We start from the raw sequence: 24,265 nt of genomic DNA, 5'->3' as shown, positions 1-24,265 counted from the left end.
TGGAGGTGGGAAGCGCGCCGCACTCCCAGCAGCCCCTGCACGAGTCACGTGACAGCTCTCCCACCACCACCCCCCCCAACTTCCCCACCGTAGCCTCCCAGAGCCAGGCCCCACGGAAAGGCAGCTTTTTCCCGGTTTTCTCCCGCTCTTTCCCCTCCACTTGGAATACTCGTGAAACAAAAATCTCTCCCTGCCACCCTGTGTGTGTTTGAACCAGGAAAAAATCTGAAACTGGTCAAGAAAGAACAAGGAAGACTTGCCAAAGCAAGGCCGGTGTGTGTCCCAGCAGCTTAGAATCTCAGCAAAGGAACACAAAATAGCACATCCACGGCCTCTTTTCGAGTAAAATTTACTTGGTTTGTTTGCAGGAAGGGTTTAAAACTGCGTTTGCAGATGCTCTGTTTGCAGGAAGGCTTTAATCACGTGTTCCCCTGGCCCACAAGCAAGGCTTTTAGATCCAGAGCCTCAGTTACTGCCCCCTCTTCCTCTTTGGTGCAACCAAACGTTCAGAATCACGCCTTCTTAGAAAATTCTTCCCCGGGTGTGTCAATAAGTTAAGTCTAATTGGCAACAGCTATCAAAAAGTGTTGCATAACACACATGGCTCACATAATTGTAGCTTTGCCTCATCGGGTGCTTTAATGCGGAGGCTTTGACCTGCAATTTCAAAGATATACATTCCAAGCTTACGCCCAGTTAGTGGATGTGGAAGAAAAAAAAAAGCAAATTACCTCATAACACAAAGGTCAATAACACACATCCATAAGCTCCAGGTACAAAATCTTACATCTTAGAGAACTATATTTAACATTTACATACATTACTAAGGTTTTTTTTTTCCTTTTGCTTGATTAAATGTTAGTTATCATTAAGTCTTGGAAGTATTCTGTGTGTGTATATTTATTTGCTGTTTGTGAAGAAGCCGGTTGTTTTAAATAAGTTCCTAGAAAATAAGCGCTCAATGTGTTTAATCTGAGTTGCTAATATTGTGAAATATAGGCCACATAATACTAGCCTAGATAACTATGGCGAAGTAAGGAGTCTCAAACACTGTCCCAGAACAATAGCAATCTGTGTTGAATTTTTACCCTCTGTGGTAAAATGAAGGGAAAAGGAATGAAGTTTTAGTTTGCCTTAATTTTTATCTTTATTGTTTCAGACTCTTCAGCAGTATAAAGTTTTCATCAAGTCAAATATATTCACTTTAAAGTGACTGTGCTTTATTCTGATACCATGTCCTTCCTAATTTGGGGGGCACAGGTGAGATAAGTTTTATGAAATAAAAAGATTAAAAATTCTTACATTTTTAGTGTCCTTCCTTGGTAAAATGTAGAGTTGTCCACTGTGTTTATCTCCTCCTCCTTATTATCATGGTTGCTGTTATTATTTTTAATGGTTCATTAAACCCAAGGGTCTGGGAAATACTCATGGAATTCATCTCACAGCCTTCACACTGTATGATATTTAAACAGGTGGTTGTCCATCTGATTCTTAAAATATTTCCAAGAAAAATGATTCCACCTAATGCATAAATGCTTTCATCAGATTAAGAGAACACCATGGACATTTTATTTTCTTTTATTTTTTAAATATTAACTTCCATTGCATAAGCTAAATGGGTAGGAATAAGTGAGATGATATTGTTATCTAGAGCTTTAAAATATTCAAAGGGCTGTCATCATTATCTCATTTAATCTTTGAAAACAACTCTATGAAGTACAAAGGACACTGAGACATTTGTTGCTCTATATCAAAGAAAAAAGTGTTTGTCCCAAAACTTCAAAATGTGTAAATTACACATTCTGCATCTTTACAGCTGGAGAAAATTCACTGGCAATGGAATATTTAAAATTAGAGCTTGCTTAGTGTGCTGCTTCTGATCACTACTTGATCCCACTTCGTGCTTTCATGTTAATTGGCCCAATTGGACTCTACAGTTGGAAGGTGAAAACTTACTATTTCAACTTGAGTCACGTATGTATTCTTATCATATACTTCTTAAAGGTACTATTTTTTTTCTTCTGATAGTCACCACACCAAGCACTTCCAGCCACCCTGCCACAGACTTCCTTTGTAATCACTGTTGAAGGACATGATGTTTTTATGACTTCCCGAAATGAAAACCCTATCTTGTTTTTAAAACAAACAAACCAACAAAAAGTAGTGTTTATGTAAGCATTTTGTTCCCTGACTCTAGGAACCCCTCTGTTTTTATATCAACTCTGTACTGGCAAAACACAAAAACAAAATGCCACCTTGCTAATTCCCTTCCTAGCAAAGTAATACAGTTTAGCACATGTTCAAGAAAAAAATGGCTAAGAAATTTTGTTTCCACTAATTATTTTCAAGACTGTGATATTTACACTCTGCTCTTCAAACGTTACATTTTATAAGACTATTTTTTAACATGTTGAACATAAGCCCTAAATATATGTATCCTTAAATTGTATTTCAAATATTTTAGGTCAGTCTTTGCTATCATTCCAGGAATAGAAAGTTTTAACACTGGAAACTGCAAGTAAATATTTGCCCTCTTACCTGAATTTTGGTATCCCTCTCCCCAAGCTTACTTTCTGTTGCAGAAAGTGTAAAAATTATTAAATAAAATTCTAATGATGGTATCCGTGTGGCTTGCATCTGATACAGCAGATAAAGAAGTTTTATGAAAATGGACTCCTGTTCCACTGAAAAGTAAATCTTAATGGCCTGTATCAACTATCCTTTGACACCATATTGAGCTTGGGAGGAAGGGGAAGTCCTGAATGAGGTTATAAAGTAAAAGAAAATATTTGCAAAATGTTCCTTTTTTTAAAATGTTACATTTTAGAAATATTTTAAGTGTTGTAACATTGTAGGAATTACCCCAATAGGACTGATTATTCCGCATTGTAAAATAAGAAAAAGTTTTGTGCTGAAGTGTGACCAGGAAGTCTGAAAATGAAGAGAGACAGATGACAAAAGAAGATGCTTCTAATGGACTAAGGAGGTGCTTTCTTAAAGTCAGAAAGAGATACTCAGAAAGAGGTACAGGTTTTGGAAGGCACAGAGCCCCAACTTTTACGGAAGAAAAGATTTCATGAAAATAGTGATATTACATTAAAAGAAGTACTCGTATCCTCTGCCACTTTATTTCGACTTCCATTGCCCTAGGAAAGAGCCTGTTTGAAGGCGGGCCCAAGGAGTGCCGACAGCAGTCTCCTCCCTCCACCTTCTTCCTCATTCTCTCCCCAGCTTGCTGAGCCCTTTGCTCCCCTGGCGACTGCCTGGACAGTCAGCAAGGAATTGTCTCCCAGTGCATTTTGCCCTCCTGGCTGCCAACTCTGGCTGCTAAAGCGGCTGCCACCTGCTGCAGTCTACACAGCTTCGGGAAGAGGAAAGGAACCTCAGACCTTCCAGATCGCTTCCTCTCGCAACAAACTATTTGTCGCAGGTAAGAAATATCATTCCTCTTTATTTGGAAAGTCAGCCATGGCAATTAGAGGTAAATAAGCTAGAAAGCAATTGAGAGGAATATAAACCATCTAGCATCACTACGATGAGCAGTCAGTATCAACATAAGAAATATAAGCAAAGTCAGAGTAGAATTTTTTTCTTTTATCAGATATGGGAGAGTATCACTTTAGAGGAGAGGTTCTCAAACTTTTTGCTCTCATGTTCCCTTTACACTAAGCACATCACATGTTAGCATAAGTAACATTTTTAATTAAAAATAACTATGTACTTTTTTAACAACAAAAAAAAAGCATAAAGAGTGACACTTTTTTATTTTTACAAGTGTTTTAACTGGTTTAATAGAAGCCATATAGATCTGCTGGATTCTCATCTGCTTTGCATTCAGACTATTGCAATATTGCACAGAATGTAGCCTCTGGTAAACTCTGTTGTACACTCATGAGAGAATGAGTGAAAAAGACAAATTACGTCTTAGAATTATTAGAAATAGCTTTCACTTTAGGAACTCCCTGAGAATTGCTGCTTTAGAGTGGTAAAATAAATAAGCTTCTCTTTAAACGGAATCTCAAGACAGAATCAGTTACATTAAAAGCAAACAAAAAATTTGCCCATGGTTAGTCATCTTGTGAAATCTGCCACACCTTTGGACTGGGCTACAATTGGATAATATAGCATTCCCCGAGATAATTTTCTTTCACAATTAAGGAAAGGGCTGAATAAATATCTCTGTTTGAAGTTGAATAACAAAAATTAGGACCCCCTAAATTTTAGGACTCCTGAAATTCGTCTTTTTGCCTATATTCAGCTACTTTACGTTCTATTAAATCTTCTTTCAGGCCAGGTGCACTAGCTCATGCCTAGAATCTCAGGCAGGCCTGAGCCCAGGAATTTGAGACCAGCCAGGGCAACACAGTCTCTACAAAAAAATAAAAAATTACCTGGGTGTGTTGGTGCATGCCTGTAGAACTACTCAGGATGCTGAGGACTGCTTGAGCCCAGGATAGCCAAATCTGTGGTGAGTTCAGCCACTAAACAGAGCGAGACTTTCTCAAAAAAACAAACAAAAAAACAAACAAACTTCCTTCAAAATAACTTTTTATCTGCAATGTTTTCCTATTGCCTGTGAGATTAAATTTACTCTTTTACCTGATTTCCAAAGCCCTCCATAATCTAATCCGACTTTACCTTGTGTTCACTGCAAAATAGCAGGACTGTTCCACTACAATCCAAAAATCACAGGTTGGGTGCAGTGGCTCACTCCTGTAATCCCAACACTTTGGAAGGCCAAGGCAGGTGGATTGCTTCAGCTCAGGAGTTCAAGACCAGCCTGGGCAACATGGCAAAAACCCTGTCTCTCCAAAACATACAAAAATTAGCCAGATGTGGTAGTATGTGCCTGTAGTCCCAACTACTCAAAAGGCTAAGGCAAGAGGATCACTTGAGCCCAGGAGGTCAAGGCTACAGTGAGCCATGTTTGCTGTGTCACTGCACTCCAGCCTGGGTGATAGAGCAAGACCATGTCTCAAAAAAAAAAAAAAAAAGAAAAGAAAAGAAAAAAACATCGCTCTATTCAGTTCACCCCCACCACAACATTGTTTTGATTATCACATAAATGCTGGTCCATTGCCTTCTCTATCTATTCAAATCTTTAAGCATTCTTTGAGATTCAACTCAATTCTCCTTTTCAAACTAGGCCATTTAAACTACATCAGTTCCATTTTGATTTTTTTGCTTTGAGTCTACAGACTCAAAAACAAAAACTTAAAAACTTATTTTTTAAGTTTTCTGCTACTCTCACCTCTTCAACACTCACATACACGCATTCATAATAAGATGGCAGAATGTTCAAGGATAAAATGATTTATAGAACTGAAAAGTTAGGTTTTGATCTTGTTGCTGTCAAGATGACTACCTACCTGATCTCAGGTAATTAATTATGTAGCATGCTCCCTCATTTCATCCCATACCTATTCAACAGGATTGGAATTCCACAGCAAGGATAAACATAATCATAGTTGCTTTTCAAGTTCAAGGCATTTTAACTTTTAATCTAGTAGTATGTTTGTTGTTGTTGTTGTTGTTTGAGATGGAGCCCTGCTGTGTCACCCAGGCTGGAGTGCAGTGGCACGAACTCGGCTCACTGCAACCTCTGCCTCATGGGTTCAATCAGTTATTCTGCCTCAGTGTCCCAAGTAGCTGGGACTACAAGGCACATGCCACCATGCCTGGCTAATTTTTGTATTTTTAGTAGAAACAGGGTTTCACCATGTTGGCCAGGCTGGTCTCGAACTCCTGACCTCAAGTGATCCAGCCGCCTCGGCCTCCCAAAGTGCTGGTATTACAGGCATAAGCCACCGTGCCCAGCCTAATAGTATGTTTTTAAACTCTTAGTGGCTTAACAATGCTGGTTGTATAATAAATATGCCATAAATATTTACTGTCTTAGAATTATGAAGAAGTGGTTACTAGGCCGTTTGCCACATATCAATGGTTCTCTCCTTACAGCTTTAACTAGAGTCTAGAATTGCAGGTTGGTAGAGCTGGAACAGACCTTAAAGACTGACTAGCCAACTTCCTTGTCCAAATGAGGGAACTGAGACCCTTAAAATTAAGTGACTTGCCCCAGACAAAACTGGAACTCATGTGTCCTAATTTCCATCATGAAATTCTACCATTCACTAGCCTCTGGCTAGTTGTCAAAGTATTGCATAACTAAATTTTTATGTCTGTTTTAAAGAACAAATTGTCACTGCTTACTCCTGGGAGGATCTTTCTGAGGTGGTTTATAACTCTTAAAAAAAAAAAAAGTCAGTAGTCTGAGAATTTTAGATGAAATAGTCAAAGCATTTTTATCCAATGGATACTATAATTTTCATAGATTAGAGTTAAAGCAAAGAAACACGGATGAGAAAGGAAGAGGAAAATTGAGGAGAGGAGGAATGGGGATGAGAACACACTACTTGTAATCAGTCATAGATGTATTGAGAACTAACAAGAAGAATTGTAAGAAAATAAGAATGAAGAATTCAAAATCAACACATGAAATAAAAAAGAAACTACTAGGGAAAAATGGAGAAGACATTAGAAAAATTATTCTATTTTTAAAATTCTGTTTTCAGGCTTCCCTCCTGTTCTTCCTCCTTCTCATTGGCTTTCAGGTGGAGGGAAAGTTTAAGATAGAAAAAATATATATATTCTACACATCCCTTTCTACGCTGTTGTCATGGCAACAAGGTTTATCATAGCAAACTTTTATTCATACAACATTTATTGAGTTCTTACTGTGTGGTAAGCTCTTTCCAGGTGTTGAAAATTCAGGGGAAAAAAGACAACTCATTGTCTTAAAACTCAGATGAAAGCTGAACAGACCTATTTTTAATCAAAGTAATCTCAATTTAGGGTAGTAAGAGCTATTTAAGAAGCATGAACAGGTGTGAAGGAGGTAGGACTCTGAGGAGAGAATAATTAGCTAGGAATGAAAGAGCAGAGAAGTTTTCCTAGAGGAACTATTAAAGCTGGGAGTTACGGGATGAAAGATGAGGCAGGGTTTGCAGGCAAAAAAAAAAAAAAGGCAGGGGAAGGGGAAGTTCTGGCCTGGCAGAGAGAATAACTGTGGCAACAATGGAGGAGAGTCTGGAAGCAAGAAAACCAAGTAGAAGAGTATTAAAATAGAAGATGCCAGGGGTAATGAGGGCTTGATTTAAAACAGTGCTGTTGGAGATGGAGAGGAGATACCAAATTCTGGAGACATTTCTGAGTTAGAATCTACAGTATTTATCAGACAAGGGAAAGATTAGACAAAGGAGTTAAGAATGACTCCCAGGTTTCAGTTTGGGGCAGGTAACTAGGACATGTTTTGAAAAGTAATGTATTAGATCTCTTACCATTGGAACTATGTATGTGGAGCCAAATTAAAATTTGTACATGTATATAACTCTCCCCCCACCACCAGTAACTACTTCCCTAACTCTCTACTTTGTAGCCAGACTTCCTAAAAGAATAGTTTGTAGTCACTGTCTTTACTTTTCCCCTCCCATTCTGTCCTAGATATTTGTCCACCTACCATCTGCTGCCTCCACTTTACCCAAACTGTTCTACGGTTGCCCAAAACTTCCTAATTGCCAAATTCAATGAACAAGTTTAAGCTTATATGTAAATTAGGAGCTCTACAGTTTGATTTCGAGCAGCCCCTCCTGAAACCCTTTCTCTTTTGACTTCTGTGACACATCTCAGATTTACAAAACTGAACTAATTATTTTACACTTGAGCTGTATTTTCGTTCTTTTTTCTTAATGAATGAGGTAACCACTCAACAAATTGCCCAAGCCAAAAACTACGAAGTCATCCTCAGTTCCTCCTTCTTCTGTTTGACCCACAACAGATCAGCTGAGAAATCCCGCTGTTTAGTATCTCTTGAATTCATTACCTTAATTTATAGCCTCATCAACTCTTAATTGTTAAAATTACTTCAGTAGTTGTTGTCTGACCTCTGTCCAATCTTGTTCAATCAGGTCCATTCTTTTGTTCTTGGTGGTGGTGGTGGTGTTGACAGAGTTTCGCTTTTGCTGCCCAGGCTGAAGTGCAGTGGAGCACTTCACTGCAACCACAGCCTCCTGGGTTTAAGCAGTTCACCCTCCCGAGTAGCTGGGACTACAGGTATGTGCCACCACACCCAGCTAATTTTGTGTTTTCAGTAGAGACAGGGTTTCACCATGTTGGTCAGGCTGGTCTCAAACTCCTGACCTCAAGCAATCCACCCACCTCAGCCTCCCAAAGTGCTGGGATTACAGGCATGAGCCACTGCACACGGACCAGATCCATTGTTTATGTTGCTTCTAGAGTGAGTTGAGTTTTTAAAACACAAATTTGACCATATCTTTCTCCTATTTAAGTCAGTATTTTTTTTTTCAGGAAAAAACAGTTCAAACTCTTTAGTCTGCTTACACAAGGCCTTTGTAGTCTGACTCTTCTTTCCAAGCTTTCATCAAAGTATACTGCAAGTTGCATTTTATGTGAATTGAATTAGGCAACGGTATAAAAATTATAGTTTATATGGGCAAAATGGAAATAATGTTAACTCTTCCAAATAGTTTATCTAGAATGACATAATTTCAAAGCTGTCAGGTCAAATGAGTTATAAACTGTTAACACTATTGCCACATGCAAGTGTCTCTTATACTTGGTAGAATTATCTGCTTCCATGTCATTATTATGTAAATTAGACTTTAAATAACTCAGAAGTTCTTCAGACATACAGGTTATTATTGTGCTTTTTAAACATAATTTTAAATAATTTTATATATGATAATGTTATCCAAGTGCTAAGGGATGTATTGTTACTGCTGTGCAAAAAAAAAAAAACTCCAAATAAATATGTTGAAACCAAGTTTATATGCAAGAAAACAATATTAAAAAGGCCAAAGTACCACCATAATAGGCTGTGTGGAGACAGCAGGCTACAAAACACTAGTAATAATGCTGAGAAAGTTGAAAAAAGAAAGAAAGCAACAATATGCTTTGGTTGTTGTAGGTTTATGTACTCCAAGAATATCTCCTCTCAAACTTTTACGTTTTTTCCAAAGAAAAGTTAACTTTGGCTGGGCGCAGTGGCTCTTGCCTGTAGTCCCAGCCTTTGGGAGGCCAAGGCGGGCAGATCACCTGAGGTCAGGAGTTTGAGACCAGCCTGACCAACATGGAGAAACCCGCCCCCCTCACTACTAAAAGAATACAAAATTAGGCCGGGCACAGTGGCTTACCCCTGTTATCCCAGCACTTTGGGAGGCCGAAGCAGGAAGATCACCTGAGGTCAGGAGTTCGAGACCAGCCATGGAGAAACCCGTCTCTACTAAAAATACAAAATTAGCCGGGCGTGGTGGTGCATGACTGTAATCCCAGCTACTCAGGAGGCTAAGGCAGAGAATCACTTGAACCCAGGCAGTGGAGGTTGCAGTGAGCCGAGATCGTGCCATTGCACTCCAGCCTGGGCAACAAGAGCGAAACTCTGTATCCAAAAAACAAAAGAAAAGAAAAGGTAACCTTGAACTATGTGAGATCTTTAGAAATGCATTCTTTCTGTAAAATGTGACTACATTTGCCTTATTTATGGTAAAAATGTTGAGGCCTCAAACAACCCATATTTTCTCGGTCTCCCCGCTGCCTAGCCTTTGTTCACATTGCTTCTTCTTGGTGGAAGCTCTTCCTCTGGCCTTGAAAATGCCTGCTTCTCTTTCAAGGTAGCACAGTCATCACTTTCTGTGGTAACCTTCTCCAGCACCATCAAACAGAAAGAATGAATCTCTTGTAAATTCAGCTCTTACGTCATTCATTACATTATTTTGTAACTCTTTATAGATTCTTCTCTCCCACTAGACTCTGAGTCACTGGAGAGTAGGAGCCAACTCTCATTCATGTGTGGTTTGGTCAGCTACTGGCCACATTCCTGATGCATAGTTAATGCTCAAACCTTAACTGGTGAATCAGCTCAAATATTGTCCTTCTCTAAATCCATTCACTCATTGACTAACTATGTACTCAAAATAGTAAACACCAGTAATTTAATCCAATTCCTGCCCATACTGCTTGGTACATTTCAGGTGAATTAGTTTGATAAATATGTGTGTATTACATAATATTAAAGTATGTACAGAAGATCATGCTAATCATTATTTCACCAACTGATAACTAATCAAAACATAGAGTGCCTCTCAGGTTAACAAATGTCTGCCTTCTCAGTTAATGCAGTCATTAACAAACACCTTCTGATGCTGATAATAGGGCCTTGTTCAGCAATGAAGCCATAAAGGTGAATAAAGAACATGCCCTCGTGGAGCTCACAGCCTAGTCATTATTGTTCTGATTTTTAATATTAATGTTGGTTTGGGTTTTGGTGAAAAATGTTTAGACTTATCTTAGTGATCTTTTCATCCTTTGCTATATTATTTTTCTCTAAGAGTCTTCCTTATCCCCTCCTTTAAAAAACTAGGTGATAATTCTAAATTGTAAATTTAAATATTATAAATAGCTTATAAAATTTAATATTTATAATATTTAAATGTTTGATAAATATTTAAATTTTATAATATTTAAATGTTTATTTAAATTCATTTGTACATCAGTTTTTATTTTATTTAAATGTGTTGGCCAGGCATGGTGGCTGACACCTATAATCCCAGAACTTTGAGAGGCCAAGTCAGGCAAACCATTTGAGCTCAGGAGTTTGAGACCACCCTGGGCAACGTGGTGAAACCCTGTCTCTACCAAACATATGAAAACTTATCTGGGTGTGGTGGCACGCATCTGTGGTCCCAGATGGGAGTCCCAGGCTAAGATGGGAGAATCGCTTGAACCCAGGTGAGAGGGGTGGGGTGGATGTTGCAGTGAGCTGAGATCGTGCCACTGCACTCCAACCTGGGTGACAGAGTGAGACTCCATCTCAAAAAAAAAAAATGTTATCTAAATAAGATAAATTTAATAACTGTTCGCACTTAGATGAGCATAAGGAACTAAACCTAGATAAAACTATCAAATAAGGCCTGGGTACAGTGACTCATGCCTGTAATCTCAAGCACTTTGGGAGGCCAAAATTATACAAAGTTAGTTGTATAACACCAACTAACAACTATTTTGGGGTTAGCTTAATTCAGATTAATTTTTTTTAAACTGAGTTTTAAATTCCTGCTTACTCTACCATACATGCTAGGCCTCATATTATGCTAGAAAAATTTTGAGCACAGATTTATGAATACTCTCCTGCATACCATTTAATTTTTAAACAAATTTTAATGCAGTATATATGTGCCTTTTTACCAACACATTAAATAATAAGATCTACTGTGAGGACTAAACTTCTGTAATTTCAAAGTAGTAATGAGTTTAAACCATGTCTCAAGATCTCTGCAATAATTGTAGCACAACAGAAAATAGGTATTTCTATTAATGACAGAGTCACAAGTACTACTAATAATACTGTGGTTTGTTTCCTGCAACTAATCATGGGAGGAATGCTAAATTTCAGAGGTTGGTGAAAATACATGTGTATTTTTTTCCCCATCCAAGTTCACAGATTTCTCACACTGAGAACTCCTATTCCATAACAAAATTCTGGAAGCCTGCACACCGTATTGGAAGAGGGGCAGAAAGGAAAAGCAAATGGAAGGATTTAAATTTTTTTCAAATCCTGTATCCCTTGATTTTACAGCAAGATTGTATTTATGTATTACTTGTGTTAAAAATATAGTATAATCGAGACTCCAGATCAAAAATCACCGCAGCTCAGGGAGAAAGAGGGCCACCAAATGCCAGAGCCCTTCAGCCTTCTCCCACCCTGCCTGTACCCTCAGATGGAAGCACTTTTTTATCATTGTTTCACCTTTAGCATTTTGACAATGAAGTCACAAACCTTCAGCCTCTCACCCATAGGAACCCACTGGTTGTAAGAGAAGGATGAAGCCAGTCCTTCCTAAAGGGCACGATTAGATGTGTTTATGGCATCCTCAGGTGAAACTATATTTATATTGACAATATATTTATATTTCTCAAGGAATACTAGAATAATGATTCAGTTCAGTACTAGGCCATTTATCTACCCTTTATAATATTGTTTAATGAGAAAATGCTTTCTATCTTCCAAATATCTGATGATTTGTAAGAGAACACTTAAACATGGGTATTCATAAGCTGAAACTTCTGGCATTTATTGAATGTCAAGATTGTTCATCAGTATACTAGGTGATTAACTGACCACTGAACTTGAAGGTAGTATAAAGTAGTAGTAAAAGGTACAATCATTGTCTCTTAACAGATGGCTCTTTGCTTTCATTAGGAATAAAGATGGCTGCTGAACCAGTAGAAGACAATTGCATCAACTTTGTGGCAATGAAATTTATTGACAATACGCTTTACTTTATAGGTAAGGCTAATGCCATAGAACAAATACCAGGTTCAGATAAATCTATTCAATTAGAAAAGATGTTGTGAGGTGAACTATTAAGTGACTCTTTTTGTCACCAAATTTCACTGTAATATTAATGGCTCTTAAAAAAATAGTGGACCTCTAGAAATTAACCACAACATGTCCAAGGTCTCAGCACCTTGTCACACCACGTGTCCTGGCACTTTAATCAGCAGTAGCTCACTCTCCAGTTGGCAGTAAGTGCACATCATGAAAATCCCAGTTTTCATGGGAAAATCCCAGTTTTCATTGGATTTCCATGGGAAAAATCCCAGTACAAAACTGGGTGCATTCAGGAAATACAATTTCCCAAAGCAAATTGGCAAATTATGTAAGAGATTCTCTAAATTTAGAGTTCTGTGAATTACACCATTTTATGTAAATATGTTTGACAAGTAAAAATTGATTCTTTTTTTTTTTTTTCTGTTGCCCAGGCTGGAGTGCAGTGGCACAATCTCTGCTCACTGCAACCTCCACCTCCTGGGTTCAAGCAATTCTCCTGCCTCAGCCTTCTGAGTAGCTGGGACTACAGGTGCATCCCACCATGCCTGGCTAATTTTTTGTATTTTTACTAGAGACAGGGTTTTGCCATGTTGTCCAGGCTGGTCTTGAACTCCTGATCTCAGATGATCCTCCTGCCTCGGCCTCCCAAAGTGCTGGGATTACAGGCATGAACCACCACACATGGCCTAAAAATTGATTCTTATGATTAATCTTCTGTGAACAATTTGGCTTCATTTGAAAGTTTGCCTTCATTTGAAACCTTCATTTAAAAGCCTGAGCAACAAAGTGAGACCCCATCTCTACAAAAAACTGCAAAATATCCTGTGGACACCTCCTACCTTCTTTGGAGGCTGAAGCAGGAGGATCACTTGAGCCTAGGAATTTGAGCCTGCAGTGAGCTATGATCCCACCCCTACACTCCAGCCTGCATGACAGTAGACCCTGACACACACACACAAAAAAAAACCTTCATAAAAAATTATTAGTTGACTTTTCTTAGGTGACTTTCCGTTTAAGCAATAAATTTAAAAGTAAAATCTCTAATTTTATAAAATTTATTTTTAGTTACATATTGAAATTTTTAAACCCTAGGTTTAAGTTTTATGTCTAAATTACCTGAGAACACACTAAGTCTGATAAGCTTCATTTTATGGGCCTTTTGGATGATTATATAATATTCTGATGAAAGCCAAGACAGACCCTTAAACCATAAAAATAGGAGTTCGAGAAAGAGGAGTAGCAAAAGTAAAAGCTAGAATGAGATTGAATTCTGAGTCGAAATACAAAATTTTACATATTCTGTTTCTCTCTTTTTCCCCCTCTTAGCTGAAGATGATGGTAAAGTAGAAATGAATTTATTTTTCTTTGCAAACTAAGTATCTGCTTGAGACACATCTATCTCACCATTGTCAGCTGAGGAAAAAAAAAAATGGTTCTCATGCTACCAATCTGCCTTCAAAGAAATGTGGACTCAGTAGCACAGCTTTGGAATGAAGATGATCATAAGAGATACAAAGAAGAACCTCTAGCAAAAGATGCTTCTCTATGCCTTAAAAAATTCTCCAGCTCTTAGAATCTACAAAATAGACTTTGCCTGTTTCATAGGTCCTAAGATTAGCATGAAGTCATGGATTCTGTTGTAGGGGGAGCGTTGCATAGGAAAAAGGGATTGAAGCATTAGAATTGTCCAAAATCAGTAACACCTCCTCTCAGAAATGCTTTGGGAAGAAGCCTGGAAGGTTCCCGGGTTGGTGGTGGGGTGGGGCAGAAAATTCTGGAAGTAGAGGAGATAGGAATGGGTGGGGCAAGAAGACCACATTCAGAGGCCAAAAGCTGAAAGAAACCATGGCATTTATGATGAATTCAGGGTAATTCAGAATGGAAGTAGAGTAGGAGTAGGAGACTGGTGAGAGAAGCTAGAGTGATAAACAGGGTGTAGAGCAAGACGTTCTCTCACCCCAAGATGTGAAATTTGGACTTTATCTTGGAGATAATAGGGTTAATTAAGCACAATATGTATTAGCTAGGGTAAAGATTAGTTTGTTGTAACAAAGACATCCAAAGATACAGTAGCTGAATAAGATAGAGAATTTTTCTCTCAAAGAAAGTCTAAGTAGGCAGCTCAGAAGTAGTATGGCTGGAAGCAACCTGATGATATTGGGACCCCCAACTTTCTTCAGTCTTGTACCCATCATCCCCTAGTTGTTGATCTCACTCACATAGTTGAAAATCATCATACTTCCTGGGTTCATATCCCAGTTATCAAGAAAGGGTCAAGAGAAGTCAGGCTCATTCCTTTCAAAGACTCTAATTGGAAGTTAAACACATCAATCCCCCTCATATTCCATTGACTAGAATTTAATCACATGGCCACACCAAGTGCAAGGAAATCTGGAAAATATAATCTTTATTCCAGGTAGCCATATGACTCTTTAAAATTCAGAAATAATATATTTTTAAAATATCATTCTGGCTTTGGTATAAAGAATTGATGGTGTGGGGTGAGGAGGACAAAATTAAGGGTTGAGAGGCTATTATTTTAGTTATTACAAGAAATGATGGTGTCATGAATTAAGGTAGACATAGGGGAGTGCTGATGAGGAGCTGTGAATGGATTTTAGAAACACTTGAGAGAATCAATAGGACATGATTTAGGGTTGGATTTGGAAAGGAGAAGAAAGTAGAAAAGATGATGCCTACATTTTTCACTTAGGCAATTTGTACCATTCAGTGAAATAGGAAACACAGGAGGAAGAGCAGGTTTTGGTGTATACAAAGAGGAGGATGGATGACGCATTTCGTTTTGGATCTGAGATGTCTGTGGAACGTCCTAGTGGAGATGTCCAAAAACTCTTCTACATGTGGTTCTGAGTTCAGGACAAAGATTTGGGCTGGAGATAGAGATATTGAAGGCTTATGCATAGAAATGGCATTTGAATCTATAGAGATAAAAAGACAAATCAGAGGAAATGTGTAAAGTGAGAGAGGAAAAGCCAAGTACTGAACTGGGGGGAATACCTACATTTAAAGGATGCAGTAGAAAGAAGCTAATAAACAACAGAGAGCAGACTAACCAAAAGGGAAGAAGAAAAACCAAGAGAATTCCACCGACTCCCAGGAGAGCATTTCAAGATTGAGGGGATAGGTGTTGTGTTGAATTTTGCAGCCTTGAGAATCAAGGGCCAGAACACAGCTTTTAGATTTAGCAACAAGGAGTTTGGTGATCTCAGTGAAAGCAGCTTGATGGTGAAATGGAGGCAGAGGCAGATTGCAATGAGTGAAACAGTGAATGGAAAGTGAAGAAATGATACAGATAATTCTTGCTAAAAGCTTGGCTGTTAAAAGGAGGAGAGAAACAAGACTAGCTGCAAAGTGAGATTGGGTTGATGGAGCAGTTTTAAATCTCAAAATAAAGAGCTTTGTGCTTTTTTGATTATGAAAATAATGTGTTAATTGTAACTAATTGAGGCAATGAAAAAAGATAATAATATGAAAGATAAAAATATAAAAACCACCCAGAAATAATGATAGCTACCATTTTGATACAATATTTCTACACTCCTTTCTATGTATATATACAGACACAGAAATGCTTATATTTTTATTAAAAGGGATTGTACTATACCTAAGCTGCTTTTTCTAGTTAGTGATATATATGGACATCTCTCCATGGCAACGAGTAATTGCAGTTATATTAAGTTCATGATATTTCACAATAAGGGCATATCTTTGCCCTTTTTATTTAATCAATTCTTAATTGGTGAATGTTTGTTTCCAGTTTGTTGTTGTTATTAACAATGTTCCCATAAGCATTCCTGTACAAAAATGTTCACACATTTGTCTGATTTTTTCTTCAGGATAAAACCCAGGAGGTAGAATTGCTGGGTTGATAGAAGAGAAAGGATGATTGGCAAATTAAAGCTTCAGTAGAGGGTACATGCCGAGCACAAATGGGATCAGCCCTAGATACCAGAAATGGCACTTTCTCATTTCCCCTTGGGACAAAAGGGAGAGAGGCAATAACTGGTGCTGCCAGAGTTAAATTTGTACGTGGAGTAGCAGGAAATCATTTGCTGAAAATGAAAACAGAGATGATGGTGTAGAGGTCCTGAAGAGAGCAAAGAAAATTTGAAATTGCGGCTATCAGCTATGGAAGAGAGTGCTGAACTGGAAAACAAAAGAAGTATTGACAATTGGTATGCTTGTAATGGCACCGATTTGAACGCTTGTGCCATTGTTCACCAGCAGCACTCAGCAGCCAAGTTTGGAGTTTTGTAGCAGAAAGACAAATAAGTTAGGGATTTAATATCCTGGCAAAATGGTAGACAAAATGAACTCTGAGATCCAGCTGCACAGGGAAGGAAGGGAAGACGGGAAGAGGTTAGATAGGAAATACAAGAGTCAGGAGACTGGAAGATGTTGTGAAATTTAAGAACACATAGAGTTGGAGTAAAAGTGTAAGAAAACTAGAAGGGTAAGAGACCGGTCAGAAAGTAGGCTATTTGAAGTTAACACTTCAGAGGCAGAGTAGTTCTGAATGGTAACAAGAAATTGAGTGTGCCTTTGAGAGTAGGTTAAAAAACAATAGGCAACTTTATTGTAGCTACTTCTGGAACAGAAGATTGTCATTAATAGTTTTAGAAAACTAAAATATATAGCATACTTATTTGTCAATTAACAAAGAAACTATGTATTTTTAAATGAGATTTAATGTTTATTGTAGAAAACCTGGAATCAGATTACTTTGGCAAGCTTGAATCTAAATTATCAGTCATAAGAAATTTGAATGACCAAGTTCTCTTCATTGACCAAGGAAATCGGCCTCTATTTGAAGATATGACTGATTCTGACTGTAGAGGTATTTTTTTTAATTCGCAAACATAGAAATGACTAGCTACTTCTTCCCATTCTGTTTTACTGCTTACATTGTTCCGTGCTAGTCCCAATCCTCAGATGAAAAGTCACAGGAGTGACAATAATTTCACTTACAGGAAACTTTATAAGGCATCCACGTTTTTTAGTTGGGGTAAAAAATTGGATACAATAAGACATTGCTAGGGGTCATGCCTCTCTGAGCCTGCCTTTGAATCACCAATCCCTTTATTGTGATTGCATTAACTGTTTAAAACCTCTATAGTTGGATGCTTAATCCCTGCTTGTTACAGCTGAAAATGCTGATAGTTTACCAGGTGTGGTGGCATCTATCTGTAATCCTAGCTACTTGGGAGGCTCAAGCAGGAGGATTGCTTGAGGCCAGGACTTTGAGGCTGTAGTACACTGTGATCGTACCTGTGAATAGCCACTGCACTCCAGCCTGGGTGATATACAGACCTTGTCTCTAAAATTAAAAAAAAAAAAAAAAAAAAAAAAACTTAAGAAAAGAAAATGATCAAGTCTACTGTGCCTTCCAAAATATGAATTCCAAATATCAAAGTTAGGCTGAGTTGAAGCAGTGAATGTGCATTCTTTAAAAATACTGAATACTTACCTTAACATATATTTTAAATATTTTATTTAGCATTTAAAAGTTAAAAACAATCTTTTAGAATTCATATCTTTAAAATACTCAAAAAAGTTGCAGCGTGTGTGTTGTAATACACATTAAACTGTGGGGTTGTTTGTTTGTTTGAGATGCAGTTTCACTCTGTCACCCAGGCTGAAGTGCAGTGCAGTGCAGTGGTGTGATCTCGGCTCACTACAACCTCCACCTCCCACGTTCAAGCGATTCTCATGCCTCAGTCTCCCGAGTAGGTGGGATTACAGGCATGCACCACTTACACCCGGCTAATTTTTGTATTTTTAGTAGAGCTGGGGTTTCACCATGTTGGCCAGGCTGGTCTCAAACCCCTAACCTCAAGTGATCTGCCTGCCTCAGCCTCCCAAACAAACAAACAACCCCACAGTTTAATATGTGTTACAACACACATGCTGCAACTTTTATGAGTATAATGATATAGATTATAAAAGGTTGTTTTTAACTTTTAAATGCTGGGATTACAGGCATGAGCCACTGTGCCAGGCCTGAACTGTGTTTTTAAAAATGTCTGACCAGCTGTACATAGTCTCCTGCAGACTGGCCAAGTCTCAAAGTGGGAACAGGTGTATTAAGGACTATCCTTTGGTTAAATTTCCGCAAATGTTCCTGTGCAAGAATTCTTCTAACTAGAGTTCTCATTTATTATATTTATTTCAGATAATGCACCCCGGACCATATTTATTATAAGTATGTATAAAGATAGCCAGCCTAGAGGTATGGCTGTAACTATCTCTGTGAAGTGTGAGAAAATTTCAACTCTCTCCTGTGAGAACAAAATTATTTCCTTTAAGGTAAGACTGAGCCTTACTTTGTTTTCAATCATGTTAATATAATTAATATAATTAGAAATATAACATTATTTCTAATGTTAATATAAGTAATGTAATTAGAAAACTCAAATATCCTCAGACCAACCTTTTGTCTAGAACAGAAATAACAAGAAGCAGAGAACCATTAAAATGAATACTTACTAAAAATTATCAAACTCTTTACCTATTGTGATAATGATGGTTTTTCTGAGCCTGTCACAGGGAAGAGGAGATACAACACTTGTTTTATGACCTGCATCTCCTGAACAATCAGTCTTTATACAAATAATAATGTAGAATACATATGTGAGTTATACATTTAAGAATAACATGTGACTTTCCAGAATGAGTTCTGCTATGAAGAATGAAGCTAATTATCCTTCTATATTTCTACACCTTTGTAAATTATGATAATATTTTAATCCCTAGTTGTTTTGTTGCTGATCCTTAGCCTAAGTCTTAGACACAAGCTTCAGCTTCCAGTTGATGTATGTTATTTTTAATGTTAATCTAATTGAATAAAAGTTATGAGATCAGCTGTAAAAGTAATGCTATAATTATCTTCAAGCCAGGTATAAAGTATTTCTGGCCTCTACTTTTTCTCTATTATTCTCCATTATTATTCTCTATTATTTTTCTCTATTTCCTCCATTATTGTTAGATAAACCACAATTAACTATAGCTACAGACTGAGCCAGTAAGAGTAGCCAGGGATGCTTACAAATTGGCAATGCTTCAGAGGAGAATTCCATGTCATGAAGACTCTTTTTGAGTGGAGATTTGCCAATAAATAACCGCTTTCATGCCCACCCAGTCCCCACTGAAAGACAGTTAGGATATGACCTTAGTGAAGGTACCAAGGGGCAACTTGGTAGGGAGAAAAAAGCCACTCTAAAATATAATCCAAGTAAGAACAGTGCATATGCAACAGATACAGCCCCCAGACAAATCCCTCAGCTATCTCCCTCCAACCAGAGTGCCACCCCTTCAGGTGACAATTTGGAGTCCCCATTCTAGACCTGACAGGCAGCTTAGTTATCAAAATAGCATAAGAGGCCTGGGATGGAAGGGTAGGGTGGAAAGGGTTAAGCATGCTGTTACTGAACAACATAATTAGAAGGGAAGGAGATGGCCAAGCTCAAGCTATGTGGGATAGAGGAAAACTCAGCTGCAGAGGCAGATTCAGAAACTGGGATAAGTCCGAACCTACAGGTGGATTCTTGTTGAGGGAGACTGGTGAAAATGTTAAGAAGATGGAAATAATGCTTGGCACTTAGTAGGAACTGGGCAAATCCATATTTGGGGGAGCCTGAAGTTTATTCAATTTTGATGGCCCTTTTAAAGAAAAAGAATGTGGCTGGGCGTGGTGGCTCACACCTGTAATCCCAGCACTTTGGGAGGCCGAGGGGGGCGGATCACCTGAAGTCAGGAGTTCAAGACCAGCCTGACCAACATGGAGAAACCCCATCTCTACTAAAAATACAAAATTAGCTGGGCGTGGTGGCATATGCCTGTAATCCCAGCTACTCGGGAGGCTGAGGCAGGAGAATCTTTTGAACCCGGGAGGCAGAGGTTGCGATGAGCCTAGATCGTGCCATTGCACTCCAGCCTGGGCAACAAGAGCAAAACTCGGTCTCAAAAAAAAAAAAAAAAAAAAGTAAAATTACCAAAGGCATAAGCTTAATAATTTAATTCAAATTTTAATTCAAATTTTAAAAAGGGCGGGGGGTGGCTGGAAGAGATCTGTGCAAATGAGGGAATCTGACATTTAAGCTTCATCAGCATCATAGCAAATCTGCTTCTGGAAGGAACTCAATAAATATTAGTTGGAGGGGGGGAGAGAGTGAGGGGTGGACTAGGACCAGTTTTAGCCCTTGTCTTTAATCCCTTTTCCTGCCACTAATAAGGATCTTAGCAGTGGTTATAAAAGTGGCCTAGGTTCTAGATAATAAGATACAACAGGCCAGGCACAGTGGCTCATGCCTATAATCCCAGCACTTTGGGAGGGCAAGGCGAGTGTCTCACTTGAGATCAGGAGTTCAAGACCAGCCTGGCCAGCATGGCGATACTCTGTCTCTACTAAAAAAAATACAAAAATTAGCCAGGCATGGTGGCATGCACCTGTAATCCCAGCTACTCGTGAGCCTGAGGCAGAAGAATCGCTTGAAACCAGGAGGTGTAGGCTGCAGTGAGCTGAGATCGCACCACTGCACTCCAGCCTGGGCGACAGAATGAGACTTTGTCTCAAAAAAAGAAAAAGATACAACAGGCTACCCTTATGTGCTCACCTTTCACTGTTGATTACTAGCTATAAAGTCCTATAAAGTTCTTTGGTCAAGAACCTTGACAACACTAAGAGGGATTTGCTTTGAGAGGTTACTGTCAGTGTCTGTTTCATATATATACATATACATGTATATATGTATCTATATCCAGGCTTGGCCAGGGTTCCCTCAGACTTTCCAGTGCACTTGGGAGATGTTAGGTCAATATCAACTTTCCCTGGATTCAGATTCAACCCCTTCTGATGTAAAAAAAAAAAAAAAAAAAAGAAAGAAATCCCTTTCCCCTTGGAGCACTCAAGTTTCACCAGGTAGGGCTTTCCAAGTTGGGGGTTCTCCAAGGTCATTGGGATTGCTTTCACATCCATTTGCTATGTACCTTCCCTATGATGGCTGGGAGTGGTCAACATCAAAACTAGGAAAGCTACTGCCCAAGGATGTCCTTACCTCTATTCTGAAATGTGCAATAAGTGTGATTAAAGAGATTGCCTGTTCTACCTATCCACACTCTCGCTTTCAACTGTAACTTTCTTTTTTTCTTTTTTTCTTTTTTTCTTTTTTTTTGAAACGGAGTCTCGCTCTGTCGCCCAGGCTAGAGTGCAGTGGCACGATCTCAGCTCACTGCAAGCTCTGCCTCCCGGGTTCACGCCATTCTCCTGCCTCACCCTCCCAAGCAGCTGGGACTACAGGCGCCTGCCACCATGCCCAGCTAATTTTTTGTATTTTTAGTAGAGACGGGGTTTCACCGTGTTAGCCAGGATGGTCTCGATCTCCTGAACTTGTGATCCGCCCGCCTCAGCCTCCCAAAGTGCTGGGATTACAGGCGTGAGCCATCGCACCCGGCTCAACTGTAACTTTCTATACTGGTTCATCTTCCCCTGTAATGTTACTAGAGCTTTTGAAGTTTTGGCTATGGATTATTTCTCATTTATACATTAGATTTCAGATTAGTTCCAAATTGATGCCCACAGCTTAGGGTCTCTTCCTAAATTGTATATTGTAGACAGCTGCAGAAGTGGGTGCCAATAGGGGAACTAGTTTATACTTTCATCAACTTAGGACCCACACTTGTTGATAAAGAACAAAGGTCAAGAGTTATGACTACTGATTCCACAACTGATTGAGAAGTTGGAGGTAACCCCGTGACCTCTGCCATCCAGAGTCTTTCAGGCTCTTTGAAGGATGAAGAAATGCTATTTTAATTTTGGAGGTTTCTCTATCAGTGCTTAGGATCATGGGAATCTGTGCTGCCATGAGGCCAAAATTAAGTCCAAAACATCTACTGGTTCCAGGATTAACATGGAAGAACCTTAGGTGGTGCCCACATGTTCTGATCCATCCTGCAAAATAGACATGCTGCACTAACAGGAAAAGTGCAGGCAGCACTACCAGTTGGATAACCTGCAAGATTATAGTTTCAAGTAATCTAACCATTTCTCACAAGACCCTATTCTGTGACTGAAACATACAAGAATCTGCATTTGGCCTTCTAAGGCAGGGCCCAGCCAAGGAGACCATATTCAGGACAGAAATTCAAGACTACTATGGAACTGGAGTGCTTGGCAGGAAGACAGAGTCAAGGACTGCCAACTGAGCCAATACAGCAGGCTTACACAGGAACCCAGGGCCTAGCCCTACAACAATTATTGGGTCTATTCACTGTAAGTTTTAATTTCAGGCTCCACTGAAAGAGTAAGCTAAGATTCCTGGCACTTTCTGTCTCTCTCACAGTTGGCTCAGAAATGAGAACTGGCCAGGCCAGGCATGGTGGCTTACACCTGGAATCCCAGCACTTTGGGAGGCCGAAGTGGGAGGGTCACTTGAGGCCAGGAGTTCAGGACCAGCCTAGGCAACAAAGTGAGATACCCCCTGACCCCTTCTCTACAAAAATAAATTTTAAAAATTAGCCAAATGTGGTGGTGTATACTTACAGTCCCAGCTACTCAGGAGGCTGAGGCAGGGGGATTGCTTGAGCCCAGGAATTCAAGGCTGCAGTGAGCTATGATTTCACCACTGCACTTCTGGCTGGGCAACAGAGCGAGACCCTGTCTCAAAGCAAAAAGAAAAAGAAACTAGAACTAGCCTAAGTTTGTGGGAGGAGGTCATCATCGTCTTTAGCCGTGAATGGTTATTATAGAGGACAGAAATTGACATTAGCCCAAAAAGCTTGTGGTCTTTGCTGGAACTCTACTTAATCTTGAGCAAATGTGGACACCACTCAATGGGAGAGGAGAGAAGTAAGCTGTTTGATGTATAGGGGAAAACTAGAGGCCTGGAACTGAATATGCATCCCATGACAGGGAGAATAGGAGATTCGGAGTTAAGAAGGAGAGGAGGTCAGTACTGCTGTTCAGAGATTTTTTTTATGTAACTCTTGAGAAGCAAAACTACTTTTGTTCTGTTTGGTAATATACTTCAAAACAAACTTCATATATTCAAATTGTTCATGTCCTGAAATAATTAGGTAATGTTTTTTTCTCTATAGGAAATGAATCCTCCTGATAACATCAAGGATACAAAAAGTGACATCATATTCTTTCAGAGAAGTGTCCCAGGACATGATAATAAGATGCAATTTGAATCTTCATCATACGAAGGATACTTTCTAGCTTGTGAAAAAGAGAGAGACCTTTTTAAACTCATTTTGAAAAAAGAGGATGAATTGGGGGATAGATCTATAATGTTCACTGTTCAAAACGAAGACTAGCTATTAAAATTTCATGCCGGGCGCAGTGGCTCACGCCTGTAATCCCAGCCCTTTGGGAGGCTGAGGCGGGCAGATCACCAGAGGTCAGGTGTTCAAGACCAGCCTGACCAACATGGTGAAACCTCATCTCTACTAAAAATACAAAAAATTAGCTGAGTGTAGTGACGCATGCCCTCAATCCCAGCTACTCAAGAGGCTGAGGCAGGAGAATCACTTGCACTCCGGAGGTAGAGGTTGTGGTGAGCCGAGATTGCACCATTGCGCTCTAGCCTGGGCAACAACAGCAAAACTCCATCTCAAAAAATAAAATAAATAAATAAACAAATAAAAAATTCATAATGTGAACTGTCTGAATTTTTATGTTTAGAAAGATTATGAGATTATTAGTCTATAATTGTAATGGTGAAATAAAATAAATACTAGTCTTGAAAAACATCATTAAGAAATGAATGAACTTTCACAAAAGCAAACAAACAGACTTTCCCTTATTTAAGTGAATAAAATAAAATAAAATAAAATAATGTT

General features: G+C 38.9%; 1 protein-coding gene and 1 long non-coding RNA gene across 6 annotated transcripts, besides 5 other annotated features; both read left to right on the top strand.

Annotated features, from left to right (window-relative positions):
* On the top strand, positions 193 to 1,974 carry TEX12-AS1 (TEX12 antisense RNA 1). Its single transcript, XR_001748384.2, has 3 exons — positions 193 to 273; positions 1,160 to 1,260; positions 1,817 to 1,974. It is a non-coding gene; the product is annotated as a TEX12 antisense RNA 1 (long non-coding RNA).
* IL18 (interleukin 18) lies at positions 3,242 to 24,076 on the top strand. 5 transcript variants are annotated; one of them, NM_001562.4, is made up of 6 exons: positions 3,242 to 3,430; positions 12,275 to 12,361; positions 13,733 to 13,744; positions 17,130 to 17,264; positions 18,600 to 18,733; positions 23,519 to 24,076. In NM_001562.4, the coding sequence occupies exons 2-6, from the start codon at positions 12,283 to 12,285 to the stop codon at positions 23,738 to 23,740; spliced, it is 582 nt and encodes a 193-aa protein (NP_001553.1). In that variant the 5' UTR covers positions 3,242 to 3,430; positions 12,275 to 12,282; the 3' UTR covers positions 23,741 to 24,076. The 5 variants fall into 5 exon arrangements, with proteins under 5 accessions (NP_001553.1, NP_001373349.1, NP_001230140.1 ...); NM_001386420.1 differs by having other exon boundaries at positions 12,254 to 12,361; NM_001243211.2 differs by lacking the exon at positions 13,733 to 13,744.
* Positions 9,776 to 10,070: a silencer, noted in NCBI's record as "tiled region #14451; K562 Repressive non-DNase unmatched - State 23:Low". NCBI's record gives its function as "represses a minimal TATA promoter and a strong SV40 promoter by Sharpr-MPRA in K562 cells {active_cell/tissue: K562}" and the evidence as "EXISTENCE:reporter gene assay evidence [ECO:0000049][PMID:27701403]".
* Positions 16,208 to 16,377: an enhancer, noted in NCBI's record as "experimental_18799 CRE fragment used in MPRA reporter constructs". NCBI's record gives its function as "activates a minimal promoter by MPRAs in K562 erythroleukemia cells, with activity observed for both the introgressed and non-introgressed 11:112021767 or rs5744258 variant alleles {active_cell/tissue: K562}" and the evidence as "EXISTENCE:reporter gene assay evidence [ECO:0000049][PMID:34662402]".
* Position 16,292: a transcriptional cis regulatory region, noted in NCBI's record as "Neanderthal adaptively introgressed variant 11:112021767 (GRCh37/hg19 assembly coordinates) or rs5744258 in the experimental_18799 CRE". NCBI's record gives its function as "modulates activity of the experimental_18799 enhancer by MPRAs in K562 erythroleukemia cells {active_cell/tissue: K562}" and the evidence as "EXISTENCE:reporter gene assay evidence [ECO:0000049][PMID:34662402]".
* Positions 21,104 to 21,273: an enhancer, noted in NCBI's record as "experimental_18795 CRE fragment used in MPRA reporter constructs". NCBI's record gives its function as "activates a minimal promoter by MPRAs in K562 erythroleukemia cells, with activity observed for both the introgressed and non-introgressed 11:112016871 variant alleles {active_cell/tissue: K562}" and the evidence as "EXISTENCE:reporter gene assay evidence [ECO:0000049][PMID:34662402]".
* Positions 23,839 to 24,008: an enhancer, noted in NCBI's record as "experimental_18793 CRE fragment used in MPRA reporter constructs". NCBI's record gives its function as "activates a minimal promoter by MPRAs in K562 erythroleukemia cells, with activity observed for the non-introgressed 11:112014136 variant allele {active_cell/tissue: K562}" and the evidence as "EXISTENCE:reporter gene assay evidence [ECO:0000049][PMID:34662402]".

This window comes from Homo sapiens, chromosome 11, assembly GCF_000001405.40.
Source record: "Homo sapiens chromosome 11, GRCh38.p14 Primary Assembly".
Lineage (NCBI taxonomy): Eukaryota > Metazoa > Chordata > Mammalia > Primates > Hominidae > Homo > Homo sapiens.
The sequence above is the reverse complement of the archived record's forward strand: the minus strand, read 5'-3'. Positions and strand labels throughout refer to the sequence as shown.

Coding starts and splice junctions, on each gene's coding strand:
- IL18 (NM_001562.4), top strand. CDS start 12,283: ATGGCTGCTGAACCAGTAGAAGACAATTGCATCAACTTTGTGGCAATG. Junction 17,265..18,599: donor GACTGATTCTGACTGTAGAG/GTATTTTTTTTA, acceptor TATTTATTTCAG/ATAATGCACCCCGGACCATA. Junction 18,734..23,518: donor ACAAAATTATTTCCTTTAAG/GTAAGACTGAGC, acceptor TTTTCTCTATAG/GAAATGAATCCTCCTGATAA.